The sequence below is a fragment of the Homo sapiens genome, chromosome 7, assembly GCF_000001405.40.
Source record: "Homo sapiens chromosome 7, GRCh38.p14 Primary Assembly".
NCBI lineage: Eukaryota > Metazoa > Chordata > Mammalia > Primates > Hominidae > Homo > Homo sapiens.
In genome coordinates this window covers 129,642,534-129,665,912 of record NC_000007.14, presented here as the reverse complement: position 1 = coordinate 129,665,912, position 23,379 = coordinate 129,642,534, and the positions used below count along the sequence as shown (strand labels likewise).

Genomic DNA, 23,379 nt, shown 5'->3' with positions numbered 1-23,379 from the left:
GCTAGGCCCAGTGGCTCACGCCTGTAATCCCAACACTCTGGGAGGCCAAGGCAGGAGGATCACTTGAGCCCCGGAGTTCAAGACCAGCCCTGGGCAACATGGCAAAACGGCATGTCTGCAAAAATTTAAAAAATTAGCTGGGCATGGTGGCGTGCACCTGTCCACGAGGATGAGGTGGGAGGATCATCTGAGCCCAAGGAGGTTGAGGCTGCAGTAAGCCATGATTGTACCACTGCACTCCAGTCTGGACAACAGAGTGAAACCCTGTCTCAAAAAAAACCAACAACAACAACAACAACAAACAACATACTGGTGATTGATACTAAAAGAGGTCAACCAACTTGAGATATTGTTTTTATTACTTGAAGATTTCGTTTAGTTGCACTACAAATAAACTTTTTTTTCTTGAAAATCAACAATAATCAGGGGCTGTCTGTGCTGCAGAGAATTAGAAGTGTTTCTGACAGGCAACACAATATAGTGAATGGTCATTTACCTTTTCTGGGTCACCTTTCAGATATGATGAATGCTACAGACCAGCTCCTCAGAAAAATCCCCACGCTGGTTAAGTGGAGTTGGGATTCCAACCCAGGAAGCCTGATTCCAGAGCCTGGGCAGGTAAGCCCTGTGCTCTGCTGCCTCTCGAAATTCCTTACCACACACAGCCCCTAGGCCCTGGGTGGTCTGACTCATGCCTGCCTCACAAGGCTCCAACCACACTGGCCTCCTTCCCATTTCCCATCTGCAAGTCCTTGCTTTCAGTGTTTCTCAGTCTGAAATGCACTTCCCTTTGCTGACACCTAACTGCCTGTCAGTCACAACCTTCCTCCTCAGAGAAGCCTTCCCAGACCACCCAAACTAGCAGCAATCTGCTGTCCTTCTCTCTCCATTACCTTCCCGCATTATTTTATTCAGAGCATCCAATGCTTTCTCAAATTATTTTACTTTATTATTGGTAGCTCTCCCCCACCACTGGATGAAAGCTCCTTCAGAAACAAACTCTTTTCTCCCCCCAATAAGCCTTTCGCACTCCTAAGAAGCAAACTCTTGCCTGCCTTGTGCATAGTATCTACATAGGTTACATATATGTACTATACATTATAATTCCTCAATAATTGAATATTAAATGATCAAATGGAAGTCATTTCTACCAGCTGTGTCTCACTTTCCACATGTGCCACACAAAGGGGTCAAATTAAAGTCTTTGCCTGGTCTTAACACTATCACAAAGCAGTACAGTAATACAGCAAAGCCATGTCTTAAAACCATCTTCCTTCATAGAAAAGCAGTGGACCTGGATTCATTATGTCAAGATGCCCTCTGCTGGGACACATAAGCATTTCACAAAATATATTTTACAAACATTTCAAGTGTTTTGCCCCTAAGACTTATTTTTAAATTCACCACTCCGGAAATACACAGTGGACAGTAACTGACAGTAATAAAGTTGTTGTTCATTGAATCTGTCTTCCTCTTCTTAAATACAGCATATATTCAAAACATGTAGTATTTTGGCCACTCCTCATCATTAATTTCTTGTCTAGCTTTTCTAAATACCTTCTAAGATCAATATCTAATACCATACCCATTCAGGCATGGTTTATATGAAGTCTTTTCACCATGGTGCTAAATGTTCAATGTAAACAGGAAAGTGAAAGATATAAAATGTAGCCCAGCTTTAAGTCATTTAGTAGCCCAGAAAATTTTAAAACCTTAAATTGGATCCCTCTCCCTCTCCCTCTCCCCTACCCTCTCCCTCCCTTTCCCCCTCCCCCTCCCCCTTTCCCGTCTCCACTGTCTCCCTCTCTTGGGGAGCCTGGACTGTACTGCCAAGATCTCCGCTCCCTGCAACCTCCCTGCCCTGGGCTCCGGTGATTCTCCTGCCTCGGCCTGGCGAGTGCCTGGGATTCCAGGCACACGCCGCCACTCCTGACTGGTTTTCGTATTTTTGGTGGAGACGGGGTTTCGCCGTGTTGACCGGACTGGTCTCCAGCTCCTGGCCTCGGGTGATCTGCCCACCTCGGCCTCCCGAGGTGCTGGGATTGCAGACGGAGTCTCGCTCACTCAATGCTCAATGTTGCCCAGGCTGGAGTACAGTGGCGTGATCTTGGCTCGCTACAACCTCCACCTCCCAGCTGCCTGCCTTGGCCTCCCAAAGTGCTAAGATTACAGCCTCTGCCCGCCCGCCACCCCGTCTAGGAAGTGAGCAGCGTCTCTGCCTGGCCGCCCATCGTCTGGGATGTGAGGAGCCCCTCTGCCCGCCCGCCCCGTCTGGGAAGTGAGGAGCGCCTCTGCCCAGCCGCCACCCCGTCTAGGAAGTGAGGAGCGTCTCTGCCTGGCCGCCCATCGTCTGGGATGTGAGCAGCCCTCTGCCCGGCCACCCCGTCTGGGAGGTGGGGAGCGCCTCTGCCCGGCCGCCCCGTCTGGGAGGTGAGGAGCACCTCTGCTCGGCCGCCCATTGTCTGGGATGTGAGGAGCGCCTCTGCCCGGCCGCCACCCCGTCTGGGAGGTGAGGAGCGCCTCTGTCCGGCCACCACCCCGTCTGGGAAGTGAGGTGCGCCTCTGCCCGGCCACCCCGTCTGGGAAGTGGGGAGCGCCTCTGCTCGGCCGCCCCGTCTGGGAAGTGTACCCAACAGCTCCGAAGAGACAGCGACCATCGAGAGCGGGCCATGATGACGATGGCGGTTTTGTCGAAAAGAAAAGGGGGAAATGTGGGGAAAAGGAAGAGAGGTCAGATTTGTACTGTGTCTGTGTAGAAAGAAGTAGACATAGGAGACTCCATTTTGTTCTGTACTAAGAAAAATTCTTCTGCCTTGGGATGCTGTTAATCTTTAACTTACCCCCAACCCCATGCTCTCTGAAACATGTGCTGTGTCCACTCAGGGTTAAATGGATTAAGGGCGGTGCAAGATGTGCTTTGTTAAACAGATGCTTGAAGACAGCATGCTCGTTAAGAGTCATCACCACTCCCTAATCTCAAGTACCCAGGGACACAAACAGGGCCGAAGGCCGCAGGGACCTCTGCCTAGGAAAACCAGAGACCTTTGTTCTCGTGTTTATCTGCTGACCTTCTCTCCACTATTATCCTATGACCCTGCCACATCCCCCTCTCTGAGAAACACCCAAGAATGATCAATAAATACTAAAATAAATAAATAAATAAATAAATAAACCTTAAATTGGATTAAGATGATCCAGGATTGCTAGTGCCCTCGGGCATCTCGCAGAAGCAAACAAAAATCCTCTCTAGAGGAAGATAACATTATACTAGACCCCAAATTATTTCTAGAAATAATTTTCCAAACACAGCATCCAGTATTCATTGAAATATAATAGTACACCAAGAAAAGAGCCAACGTGAACAAGAAATGACATTAACAACATGTAACAGAAACTTGAGAGAGAATTACCAGGTAAATTATAAAATTATTTGTTTAAAAGAAATTTTTTTCCACTATTGGAAACCGTTCAGTGCAAATCTCGGAGGAAACACACACACACACACACACACACACACACACACACACACTAGAAATTCTAAAACTGGAGGAAAAAAAACACTTGGTTAGTAGTTTTGGTTAAACTATTAACAATTACCAAAATTAATAAGTCAATGAACAGATTTAGAAGCACCTTAATAAATAAAGAAAAAACAAAGAAAAGAGAACATAAAAAAGGCACCTTAAACACAGCTGATATGGTTTGGCTGTGTCCCCACCCAAATCTCATCTTGAATTGTACTCTCATAACTCCCACATGTTGTGGGAGGAACCTAGTGGGAGGTAACTGAATCATGCGGGCAGGTCTTTCCGGTGCTGTTCTTGTGATAGTGAATAAGTCTCATTAGGTCTGGGGGTTTAAAAAAAGAGGAATTCCACTGCACAAGCTCTCTCACTCTTTGACTGCTGTTATCCATGTAAGACATGACTTGCTCCTCCTTGCCTTCTGCCATGGTTGTGAGGCCTCCCCAGCCACATAGATCTGTAAGTCCACCGAAACCTCTTTTCTTCCCAGTCTTGAGTATGTCCTTATCAGCAGCATGAAAATGGACTAATATAGTAAATTGGTACCAGGAGTGGGGTGCTGCTGAAAAGATACCTAAAAATGTGGAAGTGACTTTGGAACTGGGTAATAGGCTGGGGTTGGAACAGTTTGGAGGGCTCAAAAGAAGACGGGAAAATGTAGGAAAGTTTGGAACTTCCAAGAGACTTGATGAATGGCTTTGCCCAAAATGCTGATAGTGATATGGACAATAAAGTCCAGGTTGATGTGGTCTCAGGTGGAAATAAGAAACTTGTTGGGAACTGGAGCAAAGGTGACTCTTGTTATGCTTCGGCAAAGAGACTGGTGGCATTTTGCCCCTGCCCTAGAGATTTGTGGAACTTTGAACTTGAGAGAGATGATTTAGGGTATCTGGCAGAAGAAATTTCTAAGCAGCAAAGCATTCAAGAGGTGACTTGGGTGCTGTTAAAGGCATTGTTTTATAAGGGAAGGAAAACATGAAAGTTTGGAAAATTTGCAGCCTGATAATGCAACAGAAAAGAAAATCCCATTTTCTGAGGAAAACTTCAAGCTGGCTGCAGAAATTTGCATAAGCAACAAGGAGACGAATGTTAATCCCCAAGACAATGGAAAAAATGTCTCCAGGGCATGTCAGAGGTCTTCACAGTAGCCCCTCCCATCATAGGCCTGGAGACCTAGGAGGTTTCAAGGGCTGGGCCCAGGGTCCCTGTGCTGGGCACAGCCTAGGGGCTTGGTGCCCTGTATCCCAGCTGCTCCAGCTGTGGCTGAAAGGGGCCAACACAGAGCTCGGGCCATGGCTTCAGGGGCTGCAAGCCCCAAGCCTTAGCAGCTTCCACAAAGGTGTTGAGCCTGCAAGTGTACAGAAGTCAAGGATTGGAGTTTGGGAACCTATGCCTGGATTTCAGAGGATGTATGAAAACTCCTGGATATCCAGGCAGAAGTTTGCTGCAGGGGCGGGACCCTCATAGAGAACCTCTGCAAGTACAGTGTGTAAGGGAAATGTGGGGTTGGGTCGGAGACCTCACACAGAGTCCCTTCGGGGGCACTGCCTAGTAGAGCTGTGAGAAGAGGGCCACTGTCCTCCAGCCCCCAGAATAGTAGATCCACCGACAGCTTGCATCTTTTGCCTGGAAAAGCCACAGACACTCAACAACAGCCCATGAAAGCAGCTGGGAGGGAGGCTGTACCCTGCAAAGCCACAGGGGGCAGAGCTGTCCAAGACCATGGGACCCCACCTCTTGTATCAGCATGACCTGGATGTGAGACATGGAATCAAAGGAGATCATTTTGGAGCTTTAAGATTTGACGGCCCTGCTGGATTTCGGACTTGCATGGGGCCTGTAGCCCTTTTATTTGGCCAATTTCTCCCACTTGGAATGCCTGTATTTACCCAATCCCTGTACCCCCACTGTATCTAGGAAGTAACTAACTTGCTTTTGATTTTACAGGCTCATAGGCAGAGGGACTTGCCTTGTCTCAGATGAGAATTTGGACTGTGGACTTTTAAGTTAATGCTGAAATGAGTTAAGACTTTGGGGGACTGTTAGAAAGGCATGATTGGTTTTGAAATGTGAGGACATGAAATTTGGGAGGGGCCAGGGGTGGAATAATATGGTTTGGCTCTATGTCCCCACTCAAATCTCATCTTGAATTGTACTCTCATAATTCCCACATGTTGTGGGAAGGACCCGGTGGGAGGTAATTGAATCATGGGGGCAGATCTTTCCCATGCTGTTCTTGTGATAGTGAATAAGTCTCACAAGATCTGATGGTTTTAAAAGGAGGAGTTTCCCTGCACAAGCTCTCTCTCTTTTTGCCTGCTGTCATCCATGTAAGATGCGACCTGCTCTTCCTTGCCTTCCACCATGATTGTGAGGCCTCCCTAGCCAGGTGGAACTGTAAGTCCATTAAAACCTCTTTCTTCCCAGTCTTGGGTATCTCTTATCAGCAGCATGAAAATGGACTAATACAACAGCTAAAGAAGAAAATCTTCTGTCTTTCACAAGCTGAAAGACAGAAGAAACTACACAGAAAGATGATACATACAGAACAGATGGTTAAGAGACATACAAGTGAGGAAGACTAACATAAGTAACTGGAGCCATGGAATGAAAAGAGATGGAATGCAGCAGAAGCAAAATCTCATGGCTAAAATTTCCGGGAGAGGGGGGCAGGCCATGTGGGAGATAATCTTTGAAAGAGTAGCGGTTAGAATGAAATAGCTGAATTCTCAATAGCAGCAATGGAATCCAGAAGACAGTGGAACAGTACCTTCAACATGAGGAAAGAATAACCACCAAGCTAGAATTCCATACTCAGTGAAAACATCCTTCAAGGTTGAAGTTTAAGTAAAAACATTCACAGACAAGCAAAAATAGAACTTGTTACTAGCAGATCCATGTTAAAGCAAATATTAAATGGTGTCTTTAGGCAGAAGTAAAACCATCTCAGGAGACCAGTTGGAGATGCAGGAAAAAAAATTAACATTATTTTTTAAATAAAAATATTGTTCGCTGGATGCGGTGGCTCACGCCTATAATCCCAGCACTCTGGGAGGCCGAGATGGGTGGATCACCCGAGGTCAGGAATTCAAGACCGGCCTGGCCAACAGGGTGAAACCCCATCTCTACTAAAAACACAAAAATTAGCTGGGCATGGTGACGCACACCTGTAATCCCAGCTACTCGGGAGGCTGAGACAGGAGAGTTGCTCCAACCCAGGAGGCAGAAGCTGCAGTGAGCCAAGATTGTGCCACTGCACTCCAGCCTGGGCGACAGAGTGAGACTCCATCTCAAAAAAAAAAAAAAAAAAAAAAAGTCCTGTGGTGTTTAAAATACAGTTGTCCCTTCAAATCCTCTTGAGATTGTTTCTAGCATCTTGATGTGTAGATGCTCAAGTCCCTGATATAAAATGGTGTAGTAGTTTCACATGACCTATTCACGTCCTTCTGTATCATTTCTAGGTTACTAATACTAATATTATAATACCTAATACAGTGTAAATGCTATACAAATAGTTGTTGTATTGGCCTTTTATTTGTATTATTTTTAATTGTTATATTGTTACTTTTAATTTTTTCCTAATACTTTTGATCAAAATTGGTTGAATGTGCAGATGTGGAGCCCACAGATAAAGAGAGCCAACTGTATACCAAAAATGAATACAAAGGACAACAATAGCATATAGGATGGGCGCATGAAATGCAAGTGTTCTAAGAAATTTGTATTATCCCTGTAGAGGTTAAAAGTTCCAAGTACATACAACGTTTTGCTTTTCCTTTTTTTTTTTTTTTTCAACTGGACACAGGCTCTCACTCTGTCACTCACGCTGTAGTGCAGTGGTGTAATCATAGCTCACTGCACCCTCAAACACCTGGGCTCAAGTGATCAGTCATCCCACCACAGCCTCCCAAGTAGCTGGGACTAGGGAGCACGTCACCACACCCAGCTAATTTTTTTTTGGTAGAGATGGGATTGCACTACATTGCCCAGGCTGGTCTCAAACTCCTGGGCTCAAGTGATCCTCCCACCTTGGCCTCCCAAAGTGCTGGGATTACAGGTGTGAGCCACTGAGCCTAGTCAACATAAGGCATTGATAAATAAAGGATGTATGTTACAATTTCTACAGGTATTGATAATAGTAAAAGCTTATAACTTTCAAACTAACAAGAAAAAAATGAAAAAATACAAAATTTTCAATCACTACAAAAGAAAACGCCAAGAAAGAGAAAAGTAAACAGAACAGGTAGGGCAAAGAGAAAGCATATAGAAAAGAAGGTAAATTTAAATCTAAATACATGTCAGTGATTCTGTTTAACGTAATTGGAATAAATGCTTCAGTTTAAAGCCAAAACATAGGCAGAATAGATGAAAAAATAAAACCAAAGCCATAACACTGATAGTAAGTGATTACAGACCTCAAGTCTCAGTATAATACAGGCTCAAGTTATAACTGCAAGGCTTAAAAAAGTTGTGATAAAGGCCAGGCATAGTAACTCACACCCGTAATGCCAATAATTTAGGAGGCCGAGGCAGAAGGATCGCTTGAGCCCAGGACTTTGAGGCCAACCTGGGTAACACAGTGACATTTCTGTCTCTACAAAATATACAAAAATTAGCCAGATGTGGTGGTACACATCAGCAGTCCCAGCTACTCCAGAGGCTGAGATGGGAGAATCACTTGAACCCGGAAGATCAAGGCTGCAGTGAATCATGATTGTGCTGCTGCACCCCAGCCTGAGCAACAGAGTGAGACGCTGTCTCCAAAAAAAAAAAAAAAAAAATTAAAGAAGAGCTTCTAATCCAAACAACACTACCTGCAGCTGCCAGATGAGCTGTCACCTCATCAGCTGCTGTGGAGTTGAGTATATCTGAGTCATCGTAAGAGGTGTCCTCGGGAGAAGAAGGCGAGTCTTCATCAGCACTCAGCATACTATGCTCGGTGTAAGTAGCCACATGGACCTGCTGCACTTGCTGGGCCACTGCATGTGCTTCTATGGTAGCCATATGTTCGGTTTGGGTCACTCCGTGTTCCTCCATGAAGTTCTACTGTCAGACAAAAAAGAAAAAGAACAGGATTCAGTGTGTAATATAACACAATGTTTAAACTAAGAGATATTTTATTCAAGAGCAGAGGAACCTTGACAAAATTCCAATTTCACTACTTACCGTGCCACACCAAGTCACAGGAAATGGGAAGCACCATGCAAATGTGACATAAAAATGACAGAGTGGTGTTCTTACGTGAAACCATTTTGATGGAAATTCGCTGTACTAATTTTATACCTCAGATCACAAAACAACAGATACCCTTAATAATAAAAAGACATTCAAATATAACAATAAAAACATACTTAAGATAGCTCAGTGACTAGCATTTGGCCTTGTGAACATAAGAACACTTAGTAAATAAGTGAAATACTTAACATTTTCTTTGTATGTCAAAGACGAGTGAGAGTCAAATAACTTTTTTCCCAAAAATTCAAATTGGTCTTTCTGCTTATAAAACTGCTTCTTGAGGGCATGGCGGCAAGTGCCTGTAGTCCCAGCACTTTGGGAGGCCCAGGCAGGTGGATCATCTGAGGTCAGGAGTTCGAGACCAGCCTGGCCAACATGGCAAAACCCTGTCTCTATTAAAAATACAAAAAAATTAGCCAGGCGTGGTGGTGGGCGCCTGTAATCCCAGCTACTTGGGAGGCTGAGGCAGGAGAAGTGCTTGAACTCGGGAGGCAGAGGTTGCAGTGAGCCAAGGTTGTGCCATTGTACTCCAGCCTGGGAGACAGAGCAAGACTCTGTCTCAAAAACAAACAAACACCCCCTCCAAAAAAAAACCCAAAAAACTGTGCTTCTTGTAAACCCCAAAATGATACAGTAATGTATAAAGCAGTAAGGTTAAAAGTTGGCTCTTCTATTACACTTATAATCTCCACTCCCCCCCACCCCAGAAGTTCATTATTTTTGAAAAATAAATTTGGAGCATACATATATATAGATTTAAAATAAAAACAGGTTCATATTATACATATTGTCTGTCTTTTTCATATTACAATATATCTGGACATTGTTACATGTCAAAACATAACAGATCTACCATATCTTTTTTAAACAGCTGCATAATACTTTATTATATGCATGTGTCATAATTTATATAACCAGTCACTTGCTGATCAAATATGCTGCCAAGTTTTTGCTATTATAAACTAAACATCAATGCAGTATAAAATATGTCCTTGTATATAAAACTTTACATATTAGTTCCTCAAAAAAAAAACAAAAATAGAAGTACCACATGATCCAGCTATTCTTGAATAGACATCTGTACACCCATGTTCATAGCAGCTTTATTCGCAACAGCCAAAATGTGGAAGCAACCCAAGTGACCATCGATGAATGCATGGGTAAAAAAAATGTGGTATACACATACCACTTATTATTCAGTTTTAAAAAGGAAGAAAATGCTAATTAGAAAGAGGGGAATTTCCTCAACCTGATAAAGAACAGCTACAAAAAACCTACTATTAACATCATAATGTGAAAAACTAGAAGCTTTCCCATTAAGATTAGGAAGAAGGCTGGCCGAGGTGGCTCACGCCTGTAATCCCAGCACTTTGGGAGGCCGAGGCAGGTGTATCACCTGAGGTAGGGAGTTCGGGACCAGCCTGGCCAACATGGAAAAACCCTGTCTCTACTAAAAATATAAAAATTAGCCAGGTGTGGTGGTACACATCTGTAATCCCAGCTACTCAGGAGGCTGAGGCAGAAGAATCGCTTGAACCCAGAAGGTGGAGGTTGCAGTGAGCTGAGATCATGCCACTACGCTCCAGCCTGGGTGACACAGCAACGGCGGGACTCTGTCTCAAAAAAAAAAAGATCAGGAAGAAGACAAGGAAATCTCCTCTCACCACTTCTTTTTAACATTGTACTGGAAGTCTTAACTAATGCAATAAGATTTTTAAAAAGAAATAAAGGGTACCCTGATTGGGAAGGAAGAAATAGAACTGTCTTTCTTCATAGATGACATGATTGTTGATGTAGAAAATCCAAAATAATCAATAAAAAAAACTCCTGGAACTAGTAAGTAATTACAGCAAGGTTGCAGGGACAAGGTTGTTTTCCTAAATACTAGAAATGAATAAGTGGAATCTGAAATCAAAAACACAATACCATTTACATTTGCACCACCAAAAAGTGAAATACTGAGTAAGGTATAAATCTAACAAAATATGTACAAGATCTATATGAAAAAAAACACAAAACTCTGATGAAAATAATCAAATAAAAACTAAATAGAGAGAGATATTCCATGTTCATGCATAGGAAGACACAATACTGTCAAGATGTCAGTTCTTCCAACCTGATCTCTAGATTCAACATTGTCCCAATCAAAATCCCAGCAAGTTATTTTGTGGATACCAACCAACTGACACTAAAGTTTACATGGAGAGGCAAAAGACCCAGAACAGCCAAAAAAATACTGAAAGAACAAAATCAGAAGACTGATACCACACAACTTTAAGACTTACCATAAACCTACAGTAATCAAGATAGTATGGTATTGGTGAAACACCAGAGAAATAGACCAATGTAACAGAAGAGAAGGTCCAGAAATAGACCCACATAAATAGAGCCAGCTGATCTCTGAGAAAGGAGCAAAGGCAATACATTAGTTTGGCAAAGTTAGTCTTTTCAATGAATGGTGCTGGAACAAGTGAACAGTCACACATCAAAAAAATGAAATCTAGACATAGACCTTCACAAAAACTGATACAAAATGGATCATAAACCTAAATGTAAAATGCAAAACCATAAAACTCCTATAAGATAACATAGGAGAAAATCTAGTTGACCTTGGGTATGGCAATGACTTTTAAGATACAATGCCAAAGGCGCAATCCATAAAAGCAAAAAATCGATAAGCTGGACTTCATTAAAACAAGAAACTTCTGCCCTGTGAAAGACACTGCCAAAAGAATGAGAAGACAGGACATAGACAGGGAGGAAATAGTTGTAAAAGATGAATCAGAAGGATTGTTATCCAAAATAAGGAATTCTTAAAAACTCAACAATAAGAAAATGAACCCAATTTAAAAAAGGGCAAAACACCTGAAGAGATCTCACCAAGGAAGATATATAGATGGTAAATAAGCATATGAAAAGATGCTCAACATCATATGTCAAGGGAGAATTACAAATTAAAACAGTGAGATATCACTACGCATCTATTTAAATATCTAAACCTCAAAACACTGCCAACACCAAACGCTGTTGAGGATGTGGAGCAACAGGAACTCTATTTCACTGCTGGTGGGAATGCAACATAGTACAGCCACTTTGGAAGACAGTGTGGCAGTCTGTTATAAAATTAAACATACTCTTACCATACAATCCAGCAATTACACGCCTTTGTATTGACCCAAAGGAGTTGAAAACTTACATCCACATAAAAACCTGCACATGGATGTTTATAATTTTATTCATAATTGCCCAAACTTGGAAGCACCAAAATGTCCTTCCGTAGGTGAATGGATAAACTGTGGTACATCCAGACAATAGAATATCATTCAGCACTAAAAAGAAATGAGCTTTCAAGCTATGAGAAAATGTAGAAGAAGCTTAAATGCATATTGCTAAGTGAAAAAAGCCAATCTGAAAAGGCTACACACTTATGATTCCAATTACATGGCCTTCTGGAAAAGCAAAACTATGGGGACGGTAAAAAGATTAGAGGTTGCCAAGGATTGGGGGAAGGGAGGGATGAACAGGCGGAGCATTTTCAGGGCAGTGAAACTACTCTGTATGATACAATAATGGTGGATATGGGTTATACATTTGTTCAAATCCATAGAATGTACAATACCATGAGGGAACCCTAATGTAAACTATGTAATGTACAATACCATGAGGGAACCCTAATGTAAACTATGGACTTTGGGTAATAATGACGTGTCAATGTGGGCTCATCAATTGGAACCAAATGTACCACTCTGGTGCAGGATGTTGATAGTGGGGGAGGCTGTGCAAGTGTAAGGAAGAGAAGTATATGGGAATTATCTGTATCTTCCACTCAATTTTGCTGTGAACTTAAAACTGCTATAAAAAATACAGTTTTATTTAAAACCAATTTTTAAAAAAAGGAAATTCTGACTCATGCTACAACATGGATCAACCTTGAGGATATTCTGCTCAGTGAAATAAGCCAGCCACAAAAAAGAACAAATACTGTATGATTCTACTTATGTGAGGCACCTAGAGTAGTCAAATTCATAGAGACAGAAAGTAGACTATTAGTCGCCAGGGGCTGGGAGTACAGAGTTTCAGTTCTGCAAGATAAAGAGTTCTGGAGATTGGCTGCACAACAGTGTGAATGTACTTAACATTACTGAACTATATGCCTAAAAATGATTATGATGGTAAATTTATTGTTATGTATATTTTACAACTAACTTTTTAAAATTACCCTATATACCAGTGTAATTTCTGTGCAAAGAAGTGACTAATCTGGCCGGGCGCGGTGGCTCACGCCTGTAATCCCAGCACTTTGGGAGGCCAAGGCAGGCAGATCACGAGGTCAGGAGATCGAGACCATCCTGGCTAACATGGTGAAACCCTGTCTCTACTAAAAAAATACAAAAAATTAGCCGGGAGTGGTGGCGGGCGCCTGCAGTCCCAGCTACTCGGGAGGCTGAGGTAGGAGAATGGCGTGAACCCGGAAGGCGGAGCTTGCAGTGAGATGCGCCACTGCACTCCAGCCTGGGCGACAGAGCGAGACTCCGTCTCAAATAAATAAATAAATAAAAATAAATTTTAAAAAAGGAAGAAGTGACTAATCTTACAGGAGAATAATATAACCAGCCTGTATTATCTTTATTAAAAATCTTGTATATTATTTGATTATTTTAAAAAATAAATTCTTTTAAGAATAACAAACTCTTGAAGGTAAATTGCTGGGTCAAAAGGCATATGTATTTTAAATTTTGATGTATATTGAAAAGCTGAGTGCTTCAGTTGTACACTAACACTATCTCTACTTGTATTAATACAAACCCACATGAACATATACACACATTTAAAATTTGACTATCATGTAACAGTATACAGCACTACACATCTGGAGTTTACCAAAAAATGTCAACCACATAGATATAGAAATATGACCTCTATGGCTGCATGTAAAAGAACATAATTATTTATTTATGTAAAATTTTTCTCTTATTTTGTCCCACTCTACTATAGAAGTCTTTCTCCATCTTGAGATCTTTTGATTCTAAAATCCTTTGTTCCTCTGAGTAACTGCTCTCTTAAACTAATCCTGCTATGTCTTTATTCTTTAGGTGATTTGTTTCTATGTAGATAATCAAATTTTCAATTTTCTGAGGTCTTTGAAAACACAGTAAAATGTGAACATTTGGAAAATCTGGGTAAAGGGTACATGAGAATTCTTTGTACTATTCTTGCAACTTTTCCCAAAGTCTGAAATTATGGCAAAATTAGAAAAGAATTTTTAAGCTACCTGATAAGCTACCCTTCCATATCCTGTTTTATGTGAGTTTCAGAATATCCAAGGGAATATATCCTAGCCCCCAGATTTGTACTACTCTAAAACAATTTAACACACTAAGTCACACAATTGAATATAATATATGAGAGAAAGATACCATTAAAATGCTATTTTTCCATCCATTTCACTGTTCTTCGAGACAAACTGCTTAGGGCATTTTAGAATTCTGGGTACTTCAGAATTATTTTTAAATGATTTGGGATTAGATGGCACCTAACTGCTTTTCAAAGGGATTTGTAGGCTATGCGCTTGGCATAATGGATTTCAATTCTTTGCTCCAGAATGCAGTTCACAGCATGAATCAATAGGGCTGTCTGCTTCACAGGCTTGCCATTTCTGCCCAGAGCCTCATCTCTTTCCACCTCTCTCCCTCTCCCATTCTTTGGCCTCTCTAACCATTTTTTTTTTTTTTTTGAGACAGAGTCTCACTCTGTTGCCCAGGCTGGAGGGCAGTGGTGTGATCTTGGCTCACAGCAACCTCTGCCTCCTGGGTTCAAGCAATTCTCGTGCCTCAGCCTCCCAAGTAGCTAGGATTACAAGTGCACCACCAAGCCCAGCTGATTTTTGTATTTTTAGCAGAGACGGGGTTTTACCATATCAGCCAGGCTGGTCTCAAACTCCTGACCTCAGGTGATCCATCTGCCTCGGTCTCTCAAAGTGCTGGGATTACAGGCTTGAGCCACCGCACCCGGCCTCTCTAACCATTTTTATTCAGCACACCCTGTGAAAAGCAAAGGCAAAGGTATTTCTGACTTCTTTTAACTAGAGTGGGATACTTATGAATGATACTTACAATGTTTCCATAAAATCATAAAAGAAGCAGGTTGGTTAATGCCAGATATGACTGATATGACATATGACATATTGCTGGACATCATCAGACCCCACTCTCCCAAGTCAATTTAGTGAAGCATTTTAGCTTTCCTCCATGAGGAGTTAGATTCCCTGGATAGCTAAAGTGATGTGAACTGTCAATAGGTAAAAATATATTAAATATTCTCTATTTTATAAAACAGCACAGTCTATCACCAAGATATCCAGAACCCCTGGACAAGTTACTCAACCTCTAAGCTACAATTCTATCATTTTTTTTAAGTGAAAAAAAAAATGACTACCTATTCGCAAAAGGATGATATGAGGATTAAATGAGATAACCCAGATAAAGTGAGGAACACAGTGCCCAGCAATAAGTGCCTGACATTAATTATGATGATGCCAGAATCTCTATGTCTTCCCGATTCTACCCTTCTTGACTCATTACTTGACTAGTCTCACAAGCACTGGGCCTCAATTTCTTCATTTCTAAATCAGACAGTCATCTCTGAGGATGGTTTTCTTAACTGTGTAAGAGACTGAATCAGGCATCTAAAAAGCCCTATATTAACTCCAGCAACTGAAATATTGTTCTCCTAGACATAAAATAAAGAAACTATAGGAAACCAAGGCCCCTAGCATAATTTCACAACAGTGCACAAAATGAAGAGGCAGCAGATGGACTTGAGAGTGATTCCTCTGAACTGATATAAAAAGTAAGACGAAAGCGCCGGCAATACATAATGACCTGTGACTCAACACCACATTCAAATAAAACAGCATACCTATCACCCAGAGCCAGTGGTGTTCAGCAGATTAGTCAATACTTCATTTAAAAAAAAAAAAAAGGAAAAAGAAAAAAAATTCCCCCAAGCAATAACTTAACATGGTAACAATTTTACTAAAATCTTTCTTACCCTGGATCATCACCTGGGGTGCAATATATCCTTCATCTAAAGGTCCTTCTTGGCCGGACACAGTGGCTCACACTCGTAATCCCAGCACTTTGGGAGGCCAAGGTGGGAGGATTGCTTATGTCCAGGAGTTCGAGACAAGCCTGGGCAACATAGGGAGACCCCCTCTCTACAAAAAATGAAAAATTAGCTGGGCATGATGGCACATGCCTATAGCCCCAGCTACTCAGGAGGCTAAGGCAAGAGGATTGCTTGAGCCTGGGAGGACAAGGCTTCAGTGAGCCAAGATCGCACCACTGCACTCCTGTGTGAGTGACAGAGTGAGACCCTCTCTCTTAAAAAAAAAATTAAATTAAAAAGTCCTTCTTTATAATATAAACTACAAGAGGTTGGGGTAGGGGTACTCTCTGGTACAGAAGAGCTGCTACTTTTGTCCCTCTAGGCCAGTATGGGTGGGTTAGTGGAAGAAAACACAGAAAAAGATTGTCTTGGCCCAGAGCACCCTGGTACTTGTAGTCAATAATACCTAAGGAGCTACTGGAATTTGAAGGAAATGTCCAAGGGAGTTAAATTTAGTCTAATCCACACATAATGGATGAGATTAAGTGTAGAGTATTTTAAAAATCAAAGCAGAAAGAAAAGCAGGCCAGGAAATCTAATCAAAGTGTAACTAAATGTAAAAGAAAGCATTAGTCTAATCAATAGCATTATCATATCAAAAGAAAAACCACAAGAACTGCCTAAGGGAAAATCTGACACCTAGCCTCAGTCTACAGTCCAAACCCGGGGTGGGGTGGGGGGAACCTAGGCTGGCTCAACTTACATTCTTGAACATATCCAGAATATAAACTGCATAACTAGGATAGAAATTTTACCCTTTCTCAAGAAGCCTAAAGAAGCCTAAAGTCAACTATAGGGTTTGCTCCTCAGGGGGACACTAGGGTAATGGATGGAAATCTCACCACAGCAGTAAAAATTAAAAACAATTCCACAGCTCAAGTCAGAGTGAAAATAGAATCAAAGTAAAATGTGGCTTAATTGTGAGTAAAAATGGAACATAAGAAAAGAAAAATCCATTTGACCTAGGATAATTCTCTTTCAAAGAGTGTATGAGTGATGATATCAGACATGGAAAGAAAAAAAATACCCTCCCACACCACTGGGCTCTACAGTTGAAAAAAAAAAAAAATGAAGCTATAGTTGTACATGTAGTTCCATCTCCAGACCCCGACTACAGACCAAAATACAGAAAATGAAATATAATACAAAACAGCAGGTAAAAGTTATGAACCATGACAATGAAAAAGCAAAGATAAGGCTGACAGAAATTTGGAGGCGGGAGAGGGACAGAAAGGTGGAAGAATGGCTAGGAGTATAGAGTATTAATATCCTATCCTTACATGGTGAGGGAGTCAGGAGACATTATTAGCAGGAGATGGAAACAGTATTACAATGTAACTATCAAAAGTACAAGGGAAAGGAAAAGTACTAAAAAAATAAGTACCTTATATTCCATAAAAGAAAGTCAAGCTGGGTGTGGTGGCTCACGCCTGTAATCTCAGCACTTTGGGAGGCTGAGAAGGGCGGATCACGAGGTCAGGAGGTAGAGACCATCCTGGCTAACACGGTGAAACCCCGTCTCTACTAAAAATACAAAAAGTTAGCCGGGCGTGGTGGCGGGCACCTGTAGTCCCAGCTACTCGGGAGGCAGAGGCAGGAGAATGGCGTGAACCCGGGAGGCGGAGCTTGCAGTGAGCCGAGATTGTGCCACTGCACTCCAGCCTGGGCGACAGAGCGAGACTCCTTCTCAAAAAAAAAAAAAAAAAAAAAAAGTCAATAATGCCCATTTGATAAATCAAGAAATAGTGGTATAGACATATTATTTAGAGTTATGGAGGCATTACTGTTTGATGATACTATAAACAAAACAGTTAAACTATAAACAAAAAACAGCTAATTGTCTCTGAAAAGTGGGACTCGGGATGGGGAAAGAGTGGCAAAAGACTATTGATTTTTATTGTAAGTCCTTCTATTTCATCTTTTATTATATGAATGTATTACTTTGACTTTTAACAAAATGAGCTTTAAAAACAAATAGCTATGATATAGTCTTCCAAACTGATCCTTTTGAAAATTAAAATTAAATGACATGTTAGAGCAAACTGTCACTAGATAAATAAAGCTCCCTTCTTACGTTAAGAACTGAGAACAGCACAGTTCAAGTTTAGAAGTGGCCTTGCCTTGAGGAAGACAAACTCCTAATTTGCGGCATCTAAAACTAACAAAATTGTATGACTAATCAAATATTTTTCATACCAATAGGTTAACTTTGTAAATATTCCTTAATACTAATAACACGATAATCCAGTTAACAATGATGCTTTTATATAATGCTTAAGAAAAATAAGCTTTGGGCTGGGCGTGGTGGCTCACGCCTGTAATCCCAGCACTTTGGGAGGCCAAGGCTGGGGGATCGCGAGGTCAGAAGTTTGAGACTAGCCTGACCAACATGGTGAAACCCTATCTCTACTAAAAATACAAAAATTAGCCAGGGGTGGTGGCTTTAATTCCAGCTATTCTGGAGGCTGAGACAGGAGAATCACTTAAACCTGGGAGTCGGAGGTTGCAGTGAGCAAAGATCGCACCACTGCACTCCAGCCTGGGCAACACAGCGAGACTCTGTCTCAAAAAAAAAAAAAAAAGCAAGAAAAGAAAAAAAAGCTTTACCACACAACTTCATAATGACTTAGGGATGAGTGGATGATTTTATGAAAATACTGTAAGCGCCAGGCATGGTGGCTCATGCCCGTAATCCCGAGAGGCCAGAGGCGGGCAGATCGCGAGGTCTGGAGTCAGCCGGGCCAACATGGTAAAACCCCGTCTCTACTAAAGATACAAAAAATTAGCCGGACATGGTGGCACATGACTGTAATCCCAGCTACTCTGGAGACTGAGGCAGGAGAATTGCTTGAACCCGGGAGGCGGAGGTTGCAGTGAGCCAAGATCGCGCCACTGCATTCTCCAGCCTGGGCGACAGGGTGCGACTCCATCTCGAAGAAAAAAAGAAAAGAAAATACTGTAAGCTCACTGAAGTCAGGGCTCGGGTCCATAAAGTCTCTATGAATAGATCTATCATAATGTGCTCTTTGATAAATGATTGTGGGTAATCAGCTGCACATTTTAATAACTAAAGCTACACCCAGGCAGTTACAGTTTCTGTAACTCTCCTACAAGGTTATGCTTGCTGTTTATCTCTCTCTCTCCGTCTCACTTCCAAGCCCTGTCTTCTATTCTTGTCAGAGTTGCACTATTCCTCGCTCTGGGGCTGAGCCTGCCAACCATGTTTTCCAGACTTTACTGCCAGTATCCTGTTAGGTTTTGCCTAGGGAGACTGGAAGGGGAGAGAAGAAGGGATTTCTTTGCTGTTTTCATTGTTATAATATCAGCATTGCTCCAGCAAGAGGAGTGTTGCACCTCCCAACTCCAGCTGTGCCTCTTCTCTCCTGGTGGTTGAGTACCAGCTGAATGGCATTCCACTAGGAGATCAGATTACCAGCTGCAGGAGGACCTCTCTGAGCTTCCAGGTTCTTCTCTTCTGTTCCCCCAAACCTAGGGGTGGTAGTGCTTCCTATCTGGATTACCCCAGTGTCTTTTGTGCTCTTTCATCTTGTAACACCTGTGTACCCAGTTCCCAGAATTAAATTATCTGAAATGCCACACATGGTTTTCTAGGCCCCGATTAATACTTAAAGAAGAAAATACATACTTGCATTCAAAATTACTCATACAGTGCTGGTAAGCAGCAATCCGGGATTCTCATACCCTCAATAAAGAAGTGATGTAAAAAATGAAGCCCATTTTTACAAGACTACAATTAGAGTTTCTGTTTTCAGACACTGATGAATCTCAAATTTAATGAATCATTAAAAAGATGCTAAGCTATAGAGTATAAAATGTCTCACAGGCCTGGCGCGGTGGCTCACGCCTGTAATCCTAACACCTTGGGAGGCAGGTGGATCAGCTGAGGTCAGAAGTTCAAGACCAGCCTGGCCAACATGATGAAACCCTGTCTCTACTAAAAATACAAAAATCAGCCGGGTGTGGTGGTACACGCCTGTAGTCCCAGCTGCTCGGGAGGCTGAGGCAGGAGAATCGCTTGAACCCGGGAGGCGGAGGCTGCAGTGAGTTGAGATGATGCCACTGCACTCCAGCCTGGGCAACAAAGTGAAACTGTATCTCAGAATACATAAATACATAAAAATAAAATGCTTCACACAGACAGAAATGGGACACTTAGAAGTGAGAAGGGAGCATAGACAGGAAAGTAGGTGATATCAACACAAACTTATGTTTGTGAGTCTATCTGACCTACTCTTTAAGTCTAACATTCCTGCAAACCTCAAAATCAACATCATAGTACTATACTGTCTCTTCATAGAAATAACACTGACAAACAGAAAATAATTTGTCATATTACTCGATGAATAGATCAGGTTTTTGGAAACCAAAGAAAATGTGGTAGCAATGGTACCTTTGACCTTTATCTACCATCCTAACTCCCTAGCGGACTGCGTAGACCTACTGAAAATCAGTGGTGGGTAATGGCTATCATTTCCAGCATGGGAAAGAGCGATTTAGAGTTACCATTCTTTTTTCTTATTATACAACTGGGCTCAGCATGTACAAGTGTCTGGAGAGTCTCCTCTCCATTCTACCTCATGCCTACTTAAACACATCCTCACTTCTCCGGCGGGGTGGTACAAACTCTGGAACCAGAATACTGTATTCCATTTCTTGCTCTGCCACTTACTAGCAACTTGGAGAAGTTTCATTTGACTTTTTCTGTCTTAGTTGTAACATCTGTCAAATGAAGGAAAATAACAGAATCTACTTCATAGAATTACTGGGGACAAAATGAATTACTATTTGAAAAAGGGCTTAAGGGGACATGGTATATAGTGAGTGCTATATAAGTGTAACTTATTCTTATTCCATGTACAAAGATGAGGACAGCAAAGAAATGTTGAAGGGACAGTTACATGATTTTTTTTTTTTTTTTTACACTGGGTGAAATAATGTTTACAGATCACATTAGGAATTTTGACCATACAAATACCTCTATCATAGAGTTCTTAATCGTTTTTGAATCATAAACTTTCTTGGGGATGGGTGAAAGCTACAGAGCTCCTCCCTAGAAAAATGCTACACATACAGAATTCTCCAAAATATTCCAATCTTCTTCTATTCAAATTATAAATAGACTATGTATTACTAGAACACTAGAGGGTGCCACAAGCAAAGGAAAAAATGTAAAGACAGCATGGGGAATTTTGGCTTGCCGGAACATCTTTCCATAGAGAAGAGTTAAGTCAATGTACTTCATCAAATGCTTAAAATATGTCAACTCTCTTATAGGTTCTGGATTAGCACTGTCTGGTAGAACTTTCTGCAATGATGGAAATATTCTAAATGTGTGCTGTCCAAAACTGTAGCTGGACATGTGGACTACTGACCACATGAGATCATAAGGAATTAAATGTTTAATTTTAATTAATATTAAATGGCCATATGTGGCTTGTGGCTACTATATTGAACAGTGCAGTTCTACATTCTAAAAAGTTTTGACTTGCTTCTTATCACAGGCCATTATCTATCAGTGTGAAGGTAATTTCTAATAGAGTGGGTTCATACAATTATTCAGGCCATTTGTCCCTTGTGATAATTCAGCACTATAGAGACAGAAATAAAGATTGTCAGCGTTTTGTCCTTGCCCTACAGACGTTCACAGTCAAAAGTACGCTGTCTTTTTACTCATTATAGATGACCCTACCTACCTAATTTCCTATGTTTCTTTACTGAAACATCTCTCTAAGCCCCTGGGTTATAAGAGCTTAAAAAATAAATAAGTGTATACTGAAAGACTGAATTAATACAGTTAAGTAAGTAGGCTTTCGCCATTTAAAAAACAAATCCTATTCTAGTGATATTTGCTAAGGGTTAAGGGAGCACAGAGAAGACAAAACTGCAAGGACATGGGGCAGGCATCCTGAAGGAAATGACAGAGTCTACAGTCAGAAGCTCGTCAGGCTCCAGAATGAAAAAAAGGGCACTGCAGGCAGCAGCAACGGCTTGTGAAAGCACATGGCATAGCAAGGGGACATCAATGAACGCGCAGACAGCAGATTCAGGGGGAGTCTGGGGACCAAAGGAACACAGCTCCCAACTGCCTCCACACCAGATTCTTTCTTTACACTGCCATTTAGTCTACTAAAAATAAAGCTAATGCTGACCCACCTGTCAAAATGAAAGCAGTCTATCCACACTGTATAACATCTTGTAGCTTACAACCCTGTGTCTGGCACACTGCCTGAATGAAGTAGGTGCCTAGTGAAGGTTGGTGACAACAATAAAAAAGCATTAGAGAGTGCATTCTCAAATATGTAGACGCTTACCAGAAGCTACACATATCAATAAAAAGCAGGTGAGTTGTTAAAGCTATCCCTGGTTTAGAAAGATGGTGAATAGGAAGTTTGGTCTACCCAAGCATTTGCAACTGGGTCAGAATGCAGCTGGCATGGCTCTTTTTGCAGAATAATTGTTTGTCCACAGCTGCTCCCAAATTACCAAAAATCAAATAAGTAGTTGCCATGTGTGATAGCAGGATTAGAGGCTGCCTCAATTTCCATTATGGAAAAATAACGTAAATTGCCACAAGTCCCGCCCCCCAGTCTCAAATAAGCACAAAGGACACTTTTATTCAGATCCTGCATACTGTGAAACAGCATTGTTGCCTGGCTGCTTCAGTGGCGGGCTCAATTCTGCTGGATCTGTCACTACACAACCAACAGCCAGTTAAAGCTATTTCCTAGCTTCTGCAGGACAGCTCAATTCATGATTTTTCTTCTGAAATAACTGAACTAAGGATTTGTTTCTGGATAAAATTATGAAAGTATTTAAGTGCCAATACCACAGACCTAGGAATCTCTGCTATTCAATCATTCTCTCCTTCATTCAACAAATATTTACTGAATTCTTATCAGGTACTCCTACATTATTGTAGCATGTGTATTCCAAGAAAACCTATGACTGGCAATTCTAATTTTGTATCTCTAAGTTTAAAAAGTGTATTCTCAGCCTGGGTGAAATGGTGAAACCCCATCTCTACTAAAAATACAAAAACCAGCTGCGTGTGGTAGTGCATGCCTGTAGTCCCAGCTACTTGGGAGGCTAAGGTGGGAGGATGGAGTGAGCCCAGGAGGCAGAAGTTGCAGTGACTTGAGATTGCACCACTGTACTCCAGCCTGGAAAACAATGGGACCCTATCTCATTTAAAAAAAAAAAAAAAAAAATTTTTTAAAGAATGTATTCTTTTAGAAGTGACTTGTGTTCTTTGGGGGTAACTGAGAAAATATAGGGGAATTAAAAATAAACACAAATCACTGTAACCTGAGATAGCTACATTACCAAGTTAACTATTTTATGTATATGCTTCCAGCATTTCCCCTGCTAGTTTCTTATACAGTTGGTTTTGTTTCATTGTTTTTAAACAAAAATGAGCCTATATTGTATATAC

The 23,379-nt window shown here is 41.5% G+C and overlaps 1 protein-coding gene across 4 annotated transcripts in view; it reads right to left on the bottom strand.

Annotated features, from left to right (window-relative positions):
• NRF1 (nuclear respiratory factor 1) overlaps positions 1–23,379 on the bottom strand; it is a 145,357-nt gene that overhangs the window by 91,164 nt on the left and 30,814 nt on the right. For 3 of the 4 annotated variants that reach the window (NM_001293163.2, NM_001293164.2, NM_001040110.2), the window contains exon 2: positions 8,339–8,570. In NM_001293163.2, coding sequence (NP_001280092.1) covers positions 8,339–8,561 — 223 coding nt within the window. In that variant the 5' untranslated portion in view covers positions 8,562–8,570. The remainder of the gene's footprint in view (positions 1–8,338; positions 8,571–23,379) is intronic. The other variant, NM_005011.5, reaches the window with a different exon arrangement.